Source organism: Homo sapiens, chromosome 12, assembly GCF_000001405.40.
Source record: "Homo sapiens chromosome 12, GRCh38.p14 Primary Assembly".
In the NCBI taxonomy this organism is placed as follows: Eukaryota; Metazoa; Chordata; class Mammalia; order Primates; family Hominidae; genus Homo; species Homo sapiens.
In genome coordinates this window covers 78,438,962-78,458,671 of record NC_000012.12, presented here as the reverse complement: position 1 = coordinate 78,458,671, position 19,710 = coordinate 78,438,962, and the positions used below count along the sequence as shown (strand labels likewise).

Sequence of the window (19,710 nt, the reverse complement as noted above, 5' to 3'; positions counted from 1 at the left end):
AGAATCGTGTTTATTTTCAGGCACCATAGGAAAGGATTGCCCTCTCCCAAGCCTTTCTAACTCCCTCCCTCCACATAACCCCTGAATATGGTCATCTCATATTGCTCATATAGAAACTCACAAGAAGGCGTATTTGTTAGCCCAGCACACCAGACTTTTACAAAGTCTATTTTGTAAAAACAATGTGATGTTTTAGGGAGTAAATCCAACATCTCTCCTAATTCATTACCCTTGTAAAAATGCTTCAGGATCACTACAATTGACTTTCAAACTGAGGGCATTCCCCTTATTGTTATTTAGCTAATTTAACCTGACTTTTCAAGAAAATGAGATGTACTGTGAAACAGCCTGAAAGAACACCTAATGCTTATCTCAGAGAGTGCTGTTACTCCACTTGACTCTACATCTTGAAATAAAGTCAATTTTCTTGTTAGCTTACAAAAGAGAAAGAGAAGGAGTGTGACCAAAAGCCTGTGGTCTATAACAGGAGGAAGTGAGAGAGAAGGGAAGAGAGAGATTTGTTCTTAAGCTTTATGAAACACCAGAATGAGTCAGTTCCCATTTTGTTTACTTGATAATAGACTTCAGGAAGAACACAAAGATAGTACTCAGAAAATTAGCAAGTCACTTGTAACCAGATAGTTTTCCTGAGATATGTCTATATCTTTTGTCCTCTACTTATTCTTTGACTTCCTTGCTTCCATTTTCAGTGCTCAACGCAAATCCTGAAAAGTGCTTATCCAAAAACCAACCTTCCCATTTCTAATTTTCCAAGTAAATCAACAAATTTGAACCTCTGATAGAGCCAGTGAACTGCTACACAATACCACTGTCCTCAATTAACATCTTCTCTAGGCAATTTGCACCAAATGAAGTTCCCTTTGTGTCCAGCCGATGTTTTAAGGAAATAAAATGATAAAATGGAGAAATCTTTTAGATTGAGCTTGTTCAGATAACATCTAAGGGGCCATCTTTTTTTACCCACTCTTCTTCAACTCCAAAAAAGAAGCAAAGAGGCCTTAAAATATATCCCACCTGTTGTGAAGTAATCACTCTCCGGGTTGATCAGAAATCCTATTCTATGATGGTTAGTAGACCCTGAACACTGCATCTTGTAGAATAAGTGAGGCACCACCTCTCTGAACACAGTTTGCATCCTTTTAGGAGGAAAACAATTAAAACATTCTCCCAGGCACTGAAACAAACACTAAAGTTTTAAATCACAAATTCACCAAAAACACACAGACACGCACGCACATATACCAAATGAATATACATATATATTAATATATCTAATGAGAGAAAGACATTTGTAAAATAGCCCTGTAAATTAAAAATATTTCTAGTTATAGAGTAATGTAAAAGTAGAATGCTAACAAGTGAATTTCCCTGTAGCTTGATCACTCTAAAGAGAAATAGCAATTAGATACTATTTTTCTCAGACTTGTAGCCAGGGAAGAGTATTTTACAATTTCAAAGCTGAAAAGAAGAGCTACATTATAGAGACATATCAGCTGATAAAAGTAATGCTGACCAGGAAGCTTTTATTTTCAAAATGTTTTATTAAACTATATTCTATTCTAGAATATGGTGGGTTTTTTAATTGGATTACCCTCCAGGTGCAAAAGTGAGCCTATTGTTCTGCCACCTTTTCCTCTGAGGGAGCCCTAGGATTATTAACCTTCTCCATTAGGAAAGACAGACAATATCCTAATGCCTAGTTTGAAGGGATAGTTGGTGTCTGCAAACCTATAGAGAGACTGGCAGAATGTATATTCATTAATTCAACTGATATTTATTGTGCTGTGGATACAGCAACAAACAAAACAGACAATTCCTACAATTGAGAAGCTTACCTTCTAGTTGACGGAAACAGATGATGCATAACAAGCATAACAAGTAAATAACAGCATATTAAAGATGACATGTGCTATGAACAAAAGGAAGGCATAGAGAATTAAAGTGGGGGAACAGTTGTTATGATTTTAAAGGAAATAGTCAAGACTGGCTTCATTGAGAAGATGACATTTGAATATCTGAAGACCAAAAATCTTGGAAAAAAAAAAAAAAAAAAGACCCAGGCAGAGAAAACAGCCAGTACAATGGCCTTGAGTTTGGACTATGCCTGGCATGTTTAAAGAACCTCAAGGAAGCCAGTGGAGTGACAGTAGATTGTGTGAGGGTAAAGTAGTCAACAAATAAGTTAAGGTAGAGGTAGGAAGATGATGTAAGGAGTTAAAGTAATAATCTGAAAAATAGATGTGGCCCCATTGGCAGACTTTGAGCAGAGGCTTAAAGATACTGCTTTGCTGGAGTTGTAATTGTAGGGCATATAGCTTTGAGAAGGCATGAGTGTTTTAGGACCTGAAATTTATTCTCATACATGAAGCATGACTTGTCTCATATGAGGTGTGATAGTATAAAGATAGCACAGTTAAGACTTTTTGTTTAGAACACAGGAGAATTAATGAGTTCCAGGTTTGCTGAGTGATTCATGAGCCACTTAATCTTTCTATGCCTCCAAGAGGTTGTAAGCAATAATGCTAGTCACCACGTGTAGGTCTCAGAAGGGTTTGAGAAACTAGGGAGATGATGGAGGAAAGATAAAGTGTCAGATCAATATGAGTTGTCTTATAGCTACAGAGTTGATGACAATCTTATGTATGTTCTAGTTGACACAACAATTATAGTGTTTTCTATCAGGATCCAGAGTGTCTATGCTGAGGCTAGAAAGTCAAATTTTTAGAAGATTGTTATAGTTGTAAGAATGATAGGATATAAAGTATATATAATTGAGTTTTACAGTAATAGTGTTGTAAAGGTGCTGTCAGGAGGCCACTATGATAGATGTCAGATAAATCTACCGGATGGAAGACTCAAAAGTGTTAGGCCAAATGTGGAAGAAGCAGCTCAAGCCGAAGTCAGGCATGTCACCAATGTTAAGTGACAAAACTAGCTATTGGAAAGCAAAGAAAGGGAATAAGAATTGCCCTTATAAAAATGTCTAATTTGTTCTACAAAGACAAAAGAACAGATTTTTGTTAGTTAACAAAATGTAATGGAATCAGATTTTTTAAATGTCAAAAATGAGAGTAAAATGTTTCCTAAGATGATAGCTACATAGCAAAAATATCAATATGATAAATAAAAATGGTAGGATAACATAGATGATCTACCAACAGACTCTCTTACATGATGTGAAGGAAGCTGGAACTTATCTAATCAAAATCCTGCAGATCACATTACATAGAATACCAATTATGAAAAACAAGTTGCTCTATTATACTTTCTTTAGAGAGCATATATTTTTTAATCAAATAAGTTAACTGTAAGCAGAAGCATTGGCACCCTTTCCCCATATCAGACTAAAAGAAATAGGTTTATCAAATATCTTCTGTAAATGGAGGCTGAGTGGGATAGGGATATGAAATAAAAATGTTCTGGTGCTAGAGGATAAAGACTGAGGACAGTGTTCCCCAAGGTGGCTTGCTTAGAAGTTTTGGTTAGAAGTAGGTGGGAGGTTCTGTAATCAAATATATTTGGGAAATACTTGTTAAAAGCACATCATGCTTCAAAAATAGGCAAACAAGATAATAGGATAAAATGGTGGGCCACTTAAAGAATGGATGCAGAACCAACTAGAAATCCAGTGAGAGCTAATTTAAGGTGGCACTATACAAAAGGACTGGAGAATCCTTCAAAGAAAAAGTTACTTCTTTAAGAGTTTTGATGAAGACTCTTGTCATAGACTATGAAAAAATTATTTTGTGTTCATAGCGTTTTAGACTTGAAAATACCCTGAAGAATACCGGATTTCCTCTTTTACAGTCCTGTGCACTGAGACTTCAAAAGGTTAAGTGATTTACCTAAGGCCATAGAGCCAAAATTTGAAATGAAATTCAAGTCTTCAATCACAATATTCTTTTACTTCAAAACTTCTAAGTATCAGGCCGGGCGCAGTGGCTCACGCCTGTAATCCCAGCACTTTGGGAGGCTGAGGCGGGTGAATCATGAGGTCAGGAGATCGAGACCATCTTGGCTAACGCGGTGAAACCCCGTCTCTACTAAAAATACAAAAAATAAGCCGGGCGTGGTGGTGGGCGCCTGTAGTCCCAGCTACTTGGGAGGCTGAGGCAGTAGAATGGCGTGAACTCAGAAGGTGGAGCTTGCAGTGAGCCGAGATCACGCCACTGCACTCCAGCCTGGGCGACAGAGTGAGACTCTGCCTCAAACAAACGAACAAACAAACAAACAAACAAAACTTCTAAGTATCATGAAAAGAATGATAGATTCTTGCAATAAATATGGTATTATCCTCTATTTGAGGTAAGTTATTTCTAATGCATTTTGCCATGAGAACTGCATTTTCCTTCTTTGGCAGAGAATCTCCTTTTCCTAGCAAAAAGCTCTTTGTACCTACACCAAGCATTCCAAAAATACAGATGCACTGAATATTTGATCTGTGCTTTCATTTTTTAAGTTTCTACCATCATTTTATCATCAATGAATTTTTATCAGTGTTTACAGATCTGAAATAACTACAGAGCTGATATTAGGAAGATATTATGATAATATAGGTCATAAGACATAGCTACAGGATAAATATAGATCTGATACGAGAAATGTAGAATGAGACAGAAAATTCCAAGTCAATAATCTCACCAATACTGAAAGATGCACATACAACCAAATAATTACATGTAAAAGATGACAACTGAATAAGTTCTATAATCTAGTTAACAGTATTGTATCAATGCTAATTGTCATAGTTACATAAAATGACAACACTGAGGGAAGCTGGGTGATAGACAGGCACACCCTATGTATTGTTTTTGCAACTTTTGTAAGCCTATAATTATTTCAAAATAAAATGTTAAAAACAAGCAAAGAGAAAAAAAAATGCCATAATTCATTAACAGGATCCAAAGACCTCCCTAAACTGCCAAAGAAGTACATGGAACAGAAAAGATTAAGAAACCCTGGCCTAATCCTTCTTGGTAACCACAAGCAGAGGTGAGGCTCAATCACAGGCCTGGGTATCTTCCAGAAAACTACTTCGAGTTGACAAGATTCAAACAAATCCATTTCCAGGAATTTTTGCGTATCTTTTTTTCCTTATATAATGGTTCAGGTCACAATTCCTCCTCCATCCAGAAGAATAGAAAGAAAACTTTTGTAGTGCTTTTTGCTGACTGATTGCAGACTATCTTTCTGGACCACTCTTACCCCCACTCTCCCTAATTTAGTAAGCAGGTAAAACTAAATGAGATGAGGTTGGCAAGAACTGCCAATCCAAGTTAAAAAGAAAAGAAAAGAAAAAGCAAACTATAAAAGAGCTGATCTCTCCTTACTTTTGCCATCTAATTAATGTGTCAGTTCTTTCAAGACTGAAGACAGAATCAGGAACATGACTTACTGTTGAAGATGTAAGAAATATTTTTCTGATTCATTTTATCAGAAAATTTAAGTTTTATATTAAGAAACATTAGTAGGTCATATTTTATGCTCATAAATATGTATCAAGTATTTTAAATATTTAACATATTATATTAATAAATATATTGTTAAAATAGTATAATCTAAAGATGTAGCTTTCAAAATTCTTTTTGTAAATAATACAGTGCCAAGTAAATAAAACAAATATAATGTTTGGAATCTATATGCATACCAAAATATACCTATGAACATATGTATTGTTTACACCAGAAGGAGTTGAAAAGAAACTTAAATTTCTCTAAATAATTTTTGCCTAAACTTCAACAATGGAATATAACTTAGTATTTCAAACATGAAATGTAACTTTTAGAACTGAAGCTCATCCTACTTGATATTTTGAAAGGGGAACAAATTTTAATATTCAAATTTCATTATTTCTCCTCAGTGAAAACTTGCCAAACAGGTTCACATCCTTCAATTTAAATGTGAAAATACTTCAAAAGCATTTTGGAGCCATTTTTTTTCTTAATTGTTAACTCTGAATGCAGAGTACGTTCAGTAAACTAGTTTTTCACACAACGCCCCAGTTGTCATTCCATTAGTTTCCTAGGGCTGCCATAACAAATTACCACAAACTAGGTAGCTTAAAACAACAGAAACTGATTCTTTCTCTGTTCTGGAGACTAGAAGTTTAAAATCAAGGTGTTTTTAGAGTTAGTTCCTTCTGAGGCTCTGAGGGAAAATCCACCCTATGTTGTTCTTTGACCTCTGGTGCCTGCCTCAATGCTTGGTGTTCTTTGGTTTAGGGCTGCATAACTCCAGTCTCTGCTTTTGTCTCTCTGTGTCTTCATTCTCTGCCTGCCTTACTCTCATAAGGACACCAATCCTTGGATTTGCTGTTCAACTTAGATCTGGAATCATTTCATCTCAAGATCCTTAATTACATCTACAAACATGTTATTTCAAATAAAGTCACATTCGCAAGTCCTAGGGAATATAACGACATATCTTTTTGATTCAACATAATTCAACCATTGTTGATTAAGTAAGCCATTATTGAACCTACTGCAAACAGAATTTTATCTTAGAAGTAAACAGGAAAAAAAAATGGTAACCTCTGTTTGATCACAAATAGTATGGGCTTAAGGTTTGAACATGTGGTAATAGTAATATCATGCTGTACATATGTAGGTTTTTATTTTTTAAGAGTTTACAGAGGGCTTTCAGATTCACTCTCTTCAATATTTACCACAAGCCTTAAAGATAGTTTTAATCTTGTTCTCATTTTACAGATGGCAAAGTGGATGCTAAGAACAATTAGTGGATGCTAAGAAAATTAGTGATTCATCAAAGTCAAACCAACAGAACATGACAGCAAATGACAGGATTGGAACTCAGTCCTGGAACTCGGGTTGATTGATTGCAGGAAAAGTGCTCTAAATGATGAGAACTTTTCTACTCCCGGCCTGATATAATGCTAAGCAATAAAAAGAAGCTAATGTCTTAATAAAGCCAATATAGTCAGGTAAATTGTTGCCAGTAATAGAGTTTTAGCAACATACCAACAAAAATAATTAAGCCAGTTTCTGAAAATAACTGAATAATATAATGTAGAGTAATTGTTGACTCACTCCAACAAAATTGTCGAGAAAGCCTCAGTAAGAGGTTCAGTTTGTTATTTTCATTTTTTTACTTTCAATGTACACATAACAGCACAAATGATCCATGTCTGGATTATTTAGTTAATGGTGGTTGATTGCACCTTTATTGGGGAAAATCAGGTCTGGTGATTTTTATATTACTACTCTCTTTTGCCTTGCGGCAGGATTCCTTTCTTATCTCCTGGACAAAGCTGATGCTATATTTATCATGTGAGATTCTGTAAAGAACCACAGATAAAGTTTTTGGCACCTTACATTGTGTGAGATATCAGCAGGATAAGATTTCAGTTCTTTAATTTTTGGAAATCCTGCATTTTCCATTGCATGGAAATAATGGCCATAACGTCTTGCTTTTATATAAGCAGATTTAATGGTTAGATCTTTGAACACCAGATTTTGTGAAGTATGCCTATTATCTCCCCAGAAATATTGCCTTCCCATCTCTGTCTATAAAGTCACATGGATCTGAACTGTTCAAATCTTAAATTTGAAACTCTGGATTAGAACATTCCAAATGATATAATGAATCTCTCTAAACCTGCATGCGTCTTGCACTCAGCAGGCTGACTGAAAGAAAACATGGAAAGTGCCTATTAAGTTTTAGTCTAGAAGCATTCTACAATAAAGTGAGTTCACTGAAGTTGATTTCCAAAGTCAGCTACATTAATCACTAGGTTCTTGGCTGTTAGGTTCTGCATGATTGCTGCCCAATATGTAAAAGAGGCTAGGTAAATCTCACCAGTTCTTTGACAAGCAGCTGTTTTGTTCTTTATTACAGAACAAAAATCTCACTGAGATATGAATTTTTTGATCACTCAATGTCAAGCATGTCAGGAAGTATTATTTTATAATATAACTTTCACTTTCTTAAACATTGAAAATGGTGAGGTGCAAAGGAATATGGAACAAATTGTGTGCAGAGGATAAGGTAGAGATGTTAAAAGGGTATGAGAGAAGAGTGGTCTTCGTAGCCATGAAGAATTTTTCTTTTTCTCTCCTTCCTCTCTCCTCTTCTTTTTCCTTTCTTTCTTCTTCCTTTCTTAATTCCTTCCTTCTGTCCTTTCTTCTTTCCCTCCTTTCTCTCTTCTACCCTTTCCTTTTCCTTTCTTCCTTCCTTCCCTTTTCTTCCTCCCTTACTTTCACAGTAATGGAAATGGCTATGGTTACTAGTAACCTGACCCCAACCATGAGACACAGAAATAAGCCTGGATGATTCTCATTTGATAGGATGATCAAATAGTTCATAGTTGTAAAAAGTGTTATGATAATGGGAGACATTTCACTCTTGTATGCATGCATTCAACAAATGTCTAGGATTACTACTATGTGTCAAACAGTACATTGGATACCAGGCACTCAAAGGTGAACAAGATAGTGAGTTCAGGATCTATAGAGGATCCAGAAAATAAAGGAGGAAGCAAACAAATTTTAAAAAATCACATCCAGTTATGATTAGAGGTCTAAAAGAAGGAATTTTGTATTATGGAGAGTATAGTAGGATGACCCAATTTCTATGCTATACTCAAACACATAGGAAAAGTAATTGTCCAGTCAATTTAATACTATTTGGCATAAAATAATAATGTGCCTAAGATAAGCAGATTTTCCTATTAATAAAATAATTCTTTGAATATCAAACAGTATCAATATTATTTTCCTAAAGGAATATAAAACTATATTCTTACAAATGAAGGTTGATTGTCATTTATATAAAGTACTGGTTATTCAACATAGGTGATACAACACTGAGTAAGACATAGACTGTTTGTGAAATTATAATTTATAAAAGGATACTTATACACAAATAACTACGAAAAAAGGCTATGGTAAATATATGAACAGTAAAAAAAAAACAGCCACAGTAGATCACAGAAATTATTCTTTTACAACAAAAACATATTATGTCATTCCTCTGCTCAAACCTTCTAATGGCTTCCTTCCTCACTCAATATAAACGTCAAAATCTTTGCAATGACCTTCAGGGCTCTACACAATTTGGCTGCTATTGCATCTTTGACCCCATCTCCCACGACTATTCCCCCTAGCTCACTCTGTTCAGCCACATTGAATTACCTGCACTTTCACAAAGCACCAAACACCATTCCACATTCAAGCTTTGAAATTGTCTTTTCCTCCAGATATTCACATGGCTAACTATATGACTGTCTTCCAGACTCTGCTCAAATCTCCCTTTAAAGGAGGCTTATGATGACCCTAGACTGCTATATTGATTGATTGATTTTACTGTACTTGTTATCTCTGAGTGTACTGTGAATGCTACTCAGGTGTCATATGTATTGTTTATTGTTAATCTCTGCCAACTAGAATATTAAACCCCATGTGGATAATGCATTTTACCTGTCTCGTTTCCAGGTGTATTGCAAGTGTCAGAAAAATTCTGATACAAAGTAAGTGCTCAATAAATATTTACTTAATGAAATAATCAACTGGAGATAAAGGCAGTGGAAGAAAATCAGAAATGGCTTAATATATGAGGCAATGCCTGGAAGATAAATAAGAATTTTGACAAGAAGGGATGATCTTCCTAACTCATCTAGCTCATTTCAGATGATTACTTTTTCAGCATGTGAAGGACATTTCTCAAACACAGATAAGTTCGAAAAATTTCTTTATGTAACTGGTACATTGGATAAGTGTGACTCATGGGATGTGATCATAAAGCAAATTTATTTTAGTCTCCCATTGTCCCTTAAATGTATTTAGTTGTTTCATTTTCATGGGCTGACAACTCAGACAATATCACGATTCTGTTGGTCATTCTCAGAAAATGGTCACTTGAAATCAAAGCTAACACATAAGTTTTGTAAGAAAAATTTAAGTTCAACTTAATTTAATACTAAGATTTATCATTTCCTCCCACCCGTCAAATCCACCAGAAGGTGGAGGATTAAGGCCAGGGAGGAGGAGGAGGAGAGAGCTCACAGTACAAAAAAACAGCTGGGGAAGGAATGATTGGGCTTCGTTCTCTTTCCATCATCACAAATATCTTACCACTCTAGAGCTGGAGCCTGGGAGAATGGAGGACAAGGCAGACCTTATTTAACTCATGGTGTCCCCAGTTGGTGTTCAGTAGGTCTGACAGCTGTCTAAAGTATACTCTTTCCTTCATTAATACTTTTATGTGCTCCCAAAAGATTGCTCAATCACTGATGATCTTTTAGCCTCTAGTCCCTAATCCCAAGCAAAAGAATTTCTATTATGAGTAGTCAATTACTCCTCCCCCTCAACCCACATATACTAGACATGAGAAAGTGAACTCTGTTTGCTCCTGCAGGTAGCCCTTTACCTAAACCCTAATGTAGTACTCCTAGATTTATTCTAATTCCTGATCTACATGTGGGCCAGAGAAAACACTCAAGCATTCAAGCATTCTTTGACACAACAAAAGCAGCTTCTTTTTTAGCTCTAGCTATTAAACTAGCTATCCAGCCATTTTTCTGCTTTCAGAATTTTTAAAGTGGAAGCCAACTATCTGGTCTCTGTTTACCCCTCGTCTGTTGCAGAAAGTGTCTATTAAAATATTTAAGTAATCTTAAGCCCTTCCTTTTTAAAATTAAGAAAAACACTCCAACTCTATTATAGGCGGAGCTGAGATTACATAGCTTTTCAGTCCTCTCTCAATCTCTGCTTAATGAACCTTATATACTCATGATAATCTTTTTATTTTCATCATTAGGAGAGAATTTATTTTTAAAGCATCACTTAAACTACAAGGATGTCCATTAAACATCTCAATTAAATATTCCAAGGGAGAAGCCACCTTATCAAAATGCCCACTTAATTCACCCAAACGTCTCAAACCCACCCTCTGCTGACCTTCTCTAAGTTTTTTTCTGTTTTAAAAACAAGACAAAGTAGACAGATACATGTTGGTAAATGCTGAAGTCCATATTATCATAGAGACACAGTGTACTCTCAAAGCCCAAAATGCAGAGAAAGGAGGAAAAAAGCTGTAACTCCCTGTGCTACCACACAGAGACCTAGCACCCTCCAGCTTCCAGCAGAGTGAAGGGAGCAGGTTTTTCTTCTTTCCCCTCAAGAGCTCAGTGGTGTTGATTCCATTCAGTTTTTGATCAGACAGGAAGGGATAAAAATGAATTTGGAAAAGAAAGAAGTAGAGACTGTTTTCCCATAGTATTCTGCTCAAGGTATTTTTCCCCCAAAATAGGTTGAGAACCATGGTGTAGAGAAAAGAGACCTCAAGAACAAGGCAACTGAGCACAAGAGGAAAGAAAGACAGACTGATGATTTTTTTAACCAGTTTAAGAGGGGCAAACCTGATCCATGTGCAATTCCTATTTGTAAAGTTCTGTAAGATGGCCTGTCTCACTGTTTACTTCAGTATCTTATCTGCTTTGATATCTATTTTCTTAAATTCTGACCAAAAGTTTCATTTTAATATCCAATTCCATTTTTTAAAAATTTTCTCTGCTTCTCCATGGCCCATCAATTAAAGTCCAAACTCCTGAACTAACAATCATACATTTACAATATAGCCTTTTTGCTTTCCAACTTTGTTTTCCATCATGCAACTTTAATACTTCCAAGTCTGATAGTCTTTAATTCATTTATCCAAGAAATATCTATTAATATTATAGTAGAAATATCTACTATGTTCCAGGCCATGTTCTAGAATTTGCTATGTGTACAGCATGGATGAATATGACAGAGTATTTGTTTTCCCAAATATATAAAAAATTGTTATGCTTTTAAAGTATGTTGTCTCTACTCTATAGAATACCATTTTACTCTTCTCTGGATGGGAAACTCAAATTCATCTTTTACCTTACTGTTCTGACGTCATCTTCTCCAAGGAGTCTACATTAAGTTCTTTGGACAGAATTCACCACTTTTTAATCTGTGCTTTTATTGATTTCAGTCAGAATATTATTACTATGGGTTTTAACTGAACTGGTAAGAATGTTGTATTAGTCAGGGTTATGTAGAGGGATGGAACTAATAGGATAGATGTATATATAAAGCGGAGTTCATTAAGGAGTATTGACTCTCATGACCACAAAGTGAAGTCCTACAATAGACCATCTGCAAGCTGAGGAGCAAGGAAGCCAGTCCAAGTCCCAAAGCTGAAGAATTTGGAGTCCAATGTTTAAGGGCAGGAAGCATCCAGCACAGGAGAAAGATGTAGGTTGGAAGACTAAAACGGTCTATTCTTTTTCACGTTCTTCTGCCTGCTTTTATTCTAACCATGCATGCTTGCAGCTGATTAGATTGTACCCATACAGGTTGAGGGTGGGTCTGCTTCTCCCAGTCCACTGACTCTCCTTTGGCAACACCCTCACAGACACACCCAGGGACAATACTTTGAACCCTTCAATCCAATCAAGTTGACACTCAAAATTAACCATCACAAATGCTATATATGTATTGTGGGCTGTATACCTGAGTCACCTGCAAGTTAATGAGATACATTTTTTTAAAAATTTCAAATAACCAGGTATTCTTGGCTTATAACATAAGAGCTCAATATATATTTGTAGTATTGTAATGAACTGGGAAGGAAGTGCCTTCTAGGGCATGTCTGTAAGTTGGCACCCACATACTTGCTTGCAGACAAGCGGGCCAATCGATACTATGCTTTGGGTAGTGGAAGATAAGGCTTTAAATGTGAATTGGCTCAATACTGGGTTATTGTGACAAGCCATGAATGTTATGAAGAGTATATAGTTAATTCGACACACAAAAGAGACATACTTAAAGCTTCTGAAGAAATCCATTGTTGGAGCTTAGATTTAAGAATAACCTGACAATAATATATAGGTTGCTTTGAAAGAGGACAATGCCAAGAGAATGGTTATTAAAGTAATAAAAGGGTAACATGAGAAGGAAAAGCACAAATGTAAATGAAGCATCACATGAATTATTGTGGAGCTGATAACAATAACTTTATAAAATGATCAAAGAAAGGAAGAGTAACATACTCTGATTGATGCTGGATGATCGGCAGAATGATAGTACAGTTGTGGGTGTTCAGAAGGGGAAGAAGATGATGATTCTTAGTCTAGTTTGGACATGTTAAATCTGTGCAAAAAGTGAAACACTCTATTAAGATTTTCAGGATGCGCACTGAAGCAGTGGTAACTTGATGGATTTCTTTATGAAGGATATGGATAAAGAATTGCAACAATTTGTGACAAAACCCAGAAGTTTTTATAAAATGACATAAAATATACATTGATTTTTTAAAAGATAAATTACCAAAAGAACAATAAAAAGCATATGAGAAAGTTTTAATTCAAGAAAAGGAAAACAGGGTTTGACTCAGTAGATTCCCCATTCTGAGGAATTAAGAACAAATCATTGAAACATTGCCAACATGAAATAGGAACAGATGACAAAGATGAGGAAAAACTCTTGATAAAGAGAACACATATTGAATTAAAAAAAAAACAGTTTAGTCTGAATCAATAATTAGCAGACTTGACATTGCAGAAAATTTAATTAGTGATTTACAGGACAAAACTGGGAAGAAATAGAAAAATCCAAAGACAAAGGGCAGAGAGTACGCTAACAGAGAAAATGAAAAAAATGCCAAGCAAAATGAAAACCAGGCTTATAAGAGATACCCCCAAAAGGAAGTAGACCAAATGGAATGTAAATAATAACCAAATAAATAATTCTAGAAAATTATCCAGTTTTAAAATATTGTATTTTGGGATTGAGAGACCAGTCATGTTCCAAGCAAATTAATAACAAGAGCCACACAATAAAAGATTGCTCGGTGACAGTGGCAAAGTTTAAACATAAAGAATGCTTCAAACACAGAAAAAGCAAGATGTAGAATGCCCCCAAACTCCTTTCAAACACCAAATGCCAGAACACAAGCGAACCATATCCATAGGGGTTGAGAGGAAAGATCATGACTCATAATTTATATATTCAGCAAAGCTGTTGTTCAAATATGAAGGCAATATATGGACCAATCTAGTAAAACTGACCACTATTTTGAAAAAAGTTTTTCTGAAAGGAATCATAAGTGATTGACAGACAAAACAAATAAACACAATCAAGGATGGTAAACTGTGGATGGGAAGACTAGTAATGGACATTGAAAAGAGTTATACAGAGAATATATTTTAAAATGTGCGGCAAATGTATTTGCAAAATATTATATGTGCACACTTTTTGTTGAAAAGATTTTTAACATTTTTAATAGATAGCTATATCATTTGAAACCAGGCAGGGGTTGGTGTAGACCTAAATAGAAACTTTAAATTCTTTATGCTCCAAAGCACTACAGAATCTTCATTCTTTCGACAGGAAAAATAAGATAGAAAGTATTAAGATTTTTGAAATTTGAAGTAGGATAGTAATTACAAAATATGTGCATAATATAAAAACAAATCAGTCATCACAAAGCAAGCAAAAATATTTAAAGGAATCAAAACTAAAAAATCAAAATATAAAATACAGAAAGGGCAAAAATTAAAAATTGTTACATCTATAACATACAATTCTGTGAAAAGGCCATATATGCAAAGTAGCCACAAATGCCTAAGAAAAAGGCAGACAAATCTAGTTTGTTGGTAAAAGGTGTTTTATTGGGGGAAATTACAGGCAGAAGCATGGTCTTGGGTGGCTGTGAGACAGTTAGATCTTTTTACCTGCTAACCCAGAACCAGGGATTATATGCAATAGAGAAAATATTTAAGTGCCCTGTGCAAGACAATTAAAGGCAATCCTCCAGAACAGACAATAATGCTATATGCATCATAGCCTATAATTTGTGCAATAACATCAAGGTTGACATATTCTTACACTAAGGATAGTAAAGTAGGAATCAGGAGACATTCACAGGACTGGGGCTAATCAGAAGTTGACATGGTGGATTAGCATCCAAGATGGAGTCACTTTTGTCTCCACATATACAGAGTATTTTATTATGTGCCATGCCTTCTGTAAGTGTCTGTGACTCATTTAATCCTCAAAATTGCCATATAAAGTAGATTATATTATTCTTTCATTCTTACAGATGGAAAAGTTTTCCCTGTTTTATTCCTTGCCTGATGAGTTCTTTATCTTGTACCCATTATAGAAAACTTTTCCTAGTCACCCAATTCTAGTTTAGAGATACATGATATATTTTTACAGCATATAGCATTTCCTTGCTACTACAATTCCATTATAATTATCTGTTGGTTTGTATCATCCACTAGACTATAAACCTTGTGAGGGCAAACACTGGGCCAATTTAAGACACTATTATGTTCTTAACGGAAGACACAAATTTGACATGAGAATAAATATTGCTTGTGGGAATGAATGAATAAATAAAAGGAAATAATAAGTGACTGGCAAAAATGTTAGAATTAAAATAATGGACAAATTTACACAGGCAAATAGGATTTTAAAGCATCAAGAGTAGCAACATTAGGAATAGACAATGTATAATTTAATATGCATCAAATGTACGAAGCAGCATTTTATAAAAGAAAGGCATCTTCATTGAAGGAAATAGAAAAAAAATTATTCCCTCATTAAAACAGCATCAGAACGCATGCAGTGATATCTGTAGTAATTCGAGGGCAATTGGCAAATGCTCCATAACACTGGGCAACTTAATATATGTTATTATTTATTTTTATACTAAATAGAGTGTTTTAATACATACTTGACAGGATTAAGTTTATATATTTTGACACTAAAACCACAGTAATTTTTTTATAACCATGGAAACATTTTTTAATGGCTCATTTGAGAGATTGGAAAGAAAACCTTACCAATTCACCCTAACTTCATCAGTGGTTACATTTCAGGTTATGAGTCACTCTAATCTCTTTATGTACACCCCAAAATTTTACAGTTAATATTACTTCTACTTACAGATAAATTAAGCTCAGACATTTAAAAATTGAACAAAAATGCAAAAAGAAGAGTAAGGCAGATGGAAACTATACAGACTGTAACGTTTGGTGATTAGGAAATCACTTATGAGTTACTGAGAGAGAATGTTGAGAAAGGTGCCAGATCACATGGTACTATAAAATAGAGAAAAAGAAGCAGAAACTCACAGCTCTTCCTGCAAAATATTTGGTGACTGAAGAAAGGTGATAGAGGAAAGTAGCTTGAAAGTAATCAAGATCAGGGTAAGAAATTTCATTTAGAATGAAGAGACATGAATTTACTATTATAGACAAAGGAAAAGGGTCAGTACAGAAGGATAACTAGCCTGTGGATGAAGAGAGGATAGTTGCTCAAAGTCTAAGAGAATGTAGACAATGACAAATCATGGTTTCAGACGTGGATTGTAACGTTAACCAGAGAGAGATGCTTCTTCAAAACAAAAGGAAATAAAGAGTGTGCTTATACATATATGGAAAAAAATGTGGACATGAAGAAGGAAAAAAAATGAGCAGTGATCTGATCCATCAGGACATTCAAATTTTCTGAGTCAGGTAAGAGCATAAGATAAAAATAAGTGTTGGGGAGAGGCAGAGGAAGCAAAAGTGAAGTTAGGGAGTTAAAGGAGTAAAATAATTATGTGACTGAAATATGAAATAGAATAAGATTTATTATCCTTCTTTTTTCTTCCCCTACATTCATAACTCTCTAGAATTAGTCACTATTTATATTTACTTATTCTTTATAGTCATCCAAGTACCATACACACCACACCACTGAATTTCTACATCCATCTACAGTCTTCTTAAGATATACATGCTCATCTTTTTAACTTTTCAGTAACGTATGTCACTGGTAAATACTCCTTCCCTATTTTAGGGGATTTGCTTACTTTTTCCTCCATGACTGTCTCTTAATATCCCTTCTAAATTGGAAGTCAGGCAGTTAGAGAGGCAAGTCAGTCTAGAATTACAGTGCTGAGGAGAGAGTTTAAGATGTATGTAATGATTAACATGCACAGAAAATTATAACCAGGGAGGGATTTTGATATTTGACTTACTCAATTGCAGAGATTACTATAGTATGTAGGTGGCTAAGATGAAAAAAAAAAAAGATTATCTTTGGATGAAGGAAATATGTTCTCGGAGATTTGAGAAGTGCCATCAAGATTATTTGTAAGGTTGGCAAAACTCACAGGTAAAGCTGCTTTTACAAGCAGACCACGATTTACCCTCATTAAAACAGGTATACTGCTCTCTAATTTTACAGTCTAAATTCATACAGGTGTTGGTAGCAGCTGAGCTCCACAACATAACCCAGAAACTCAGGTTGTCTGTATCTTGTCCCTCCACTATCCCTAGGGTGTTTTTACCCTCCAAATAGCCCAAACTCTAATTATGTCCATGAATTTGTCTGCAAGAAGCAGCAAAGAGGAAGCTTACAGCAAGTAGCTGATGGGGAAGCAAAAAGTAGTGCAGCTCTTATGTTCATAGCCCATTGGCCAGAACTTAGTCACATGGCACATGTGAAAAAATGAAAAAAAGAAAATAGTTGCTAGGAAGGTTGAAATATATAGTCTCCTGCTAGTCTCTTGCTAATAAAACTAATGGAATTCTTTATTAAAAAGAAGAAATGAAGACTGCAGATTGGGATTCTAAATAATTGGAATAAAATTGACAATCTCAAATACAAAGCCAAACTACAGGATAAAAAAAAAAAAAAAACCTGTGAAATAGATGTTGAAATCAGTGAGGAAGAAGAATTGAATCTTTCTCTGGCAGGTAGGCCAGTGATTTCAGAACAACAAAGGAAGTTGCCATAAGTAGACTGCATGAAGTTCTGTAAAGATAAGACCTTAGGTTCCACCTTAAGAATATTAAACTCTTTCTGACTTCATGAATTTCAGTGACTTCGAGTGGCAGAAAATTTAAGAGATGCAGTATCTTCGGAGAGTAATGACATATAATCCACACATTCATGGAAGAATGGAGACCTGAAGTCTTTGAAAGGGAGTAAGCAGAGAGGAAAATAGATGTGAACAGGTATAAAGTACAATGGGATGCCAGTTCTGGAGATAAAAAAAATTAAGAAAAATAAGGTAAAGATATCTACTTGTAGCATTCATATTAACGTCCAGGATAGGATAAATAGGATGGAGGCTGAATACATTGACAAAAAGGTAAGTGAAATGATCTCTTCTTATCTAGGGCTTTTTTTATCATTTTTTAAAATCTTAACAGCCCTTTGTAAAAATATTACTATTAGCAAACTTAACTTTTTGAATTTGAATAGGAATGATAAATGGAGAGGAGTCAGAGCAAGATGAATGGACAAATGTGACTCTCCAGTGATCATCCCCGCCTGCAGGAACACCAAATTGAACAACCATCACACAAGAAAGAAACTTCATTAGAACCAAAAATCAGATGAATGATCATAGGACCTGATTTGAAAATCACATCAAGGAATGACGCACGGAAGAGTACAGTTAAGACAGTTGTGAATTGCTGACACCACTACTCTTCCATACCCCAGCAGTAGCGGCATGGCATGGAGAGAGAATCTGTGTGCTTGGGGGAGGGAGAGCAAAGTGACTGTGGGACTTTGCATTAGAACTCAGTGCTGCCCTATCACAGTGGAAAGCAACACAGCAAGATTTGGCAAGTATCCACGGAGGGAGCATTTAGACTAGCCCTAGCCATAAGGGAATTATCCATCCCAGCAATCGGAACCCGAATTCCAGCTAGCTCCACTACTATGGGCTAAAGTACCCTAGGGTCCTAAATAAACACAAAAGGCATTCCACGCCACAGTGAGTGCAATCCCTGGACAAGTTCGGGTGCTATGCTTGGCTTGCAGCCAGTGGATTTGGACTGCATGTGACCCAGTAAGACACCAGCTGGGGCAGCCAAGGGAGTGCTCACATCACCCTCCATCCCCCCAACAGGAAGCAGTGCAGCTCACAGCTCCTGGAGGAGAGAGGAGAGGAAAGAGGACTTTGTGTTGCATCTTGTATATCAGCTCAGCCATAGTAAAATAAAGCACTAGAGTCCTGAAGCCCCTATACTAGGCCCTATCTCCTGGATGACATTGCTAGACCCACCCTGGGCCAAAAGGGAACCCACTGCCCTGAAGGGAAGAACTCAGTCCTGGCAGAATTCACCACCTACTAACTAAAGAGTCTTTGGGCTCTGAATAAGCATCAGAGATAACCAGGCAGTAGCCACCACCAGCCTGGAGTGGTGGCCATGGGGAGAGTCTCTTTTTACTTATGGAAAGGAGAGAAAAAAGTAGGGAGGACTTTGTCTTGCAACCTGGGTTCCAGCTCAGCCTCAGTATAATAAAGCACCAAGAAGATTCCTAAAGCCTCTAATCAAGGTCCTAGCCCCTGGACAGCACTTCTAGACCCATCCAGGGGCAGAAAGGAACCTGTGGCACTGAAAAGAAAGACTCAGTGCTGCCGGGATTCATCACCTGTTTATTAAAGAGTGATCGGACCTTGAATAAACATCAGCAGTAGCCAGGAAATAGTCTCCACAGGCCTTAGGCAAGACACAGTACTATACTGGCTTCAGGTGTGACCCAGTGCAGTCCCAGCAGTGGCAGCCATGGGAGAAATTGCATCCCCCTCCCCACAACTCCAAGCAGCTCAGCATGGAGGGTGTGACTCCATTTGCTTGGGAAGAAGTAAGGAAAGAGAACAAGGGACTCGGCTTGGTAATCCAGGGAGTTC

The 19,710-nt window shown here is 36.1% G+C and overlaps 1 annotated feature.

The window, feature by feature from the left end:
• Nucleotides 447-496: a silencer, noted in NCBI's record as "silent region_4679". NCBI's record gives its function as "represses an Ori minimal core promoter by ATAC-STARR-seq in GM12878 lymphoblastoid cells {active_cell/tissue: GM12878}" and the evidence as "EXISTENCE:reporter gene assay evidence [ECO:0000049][PMID:35858748]".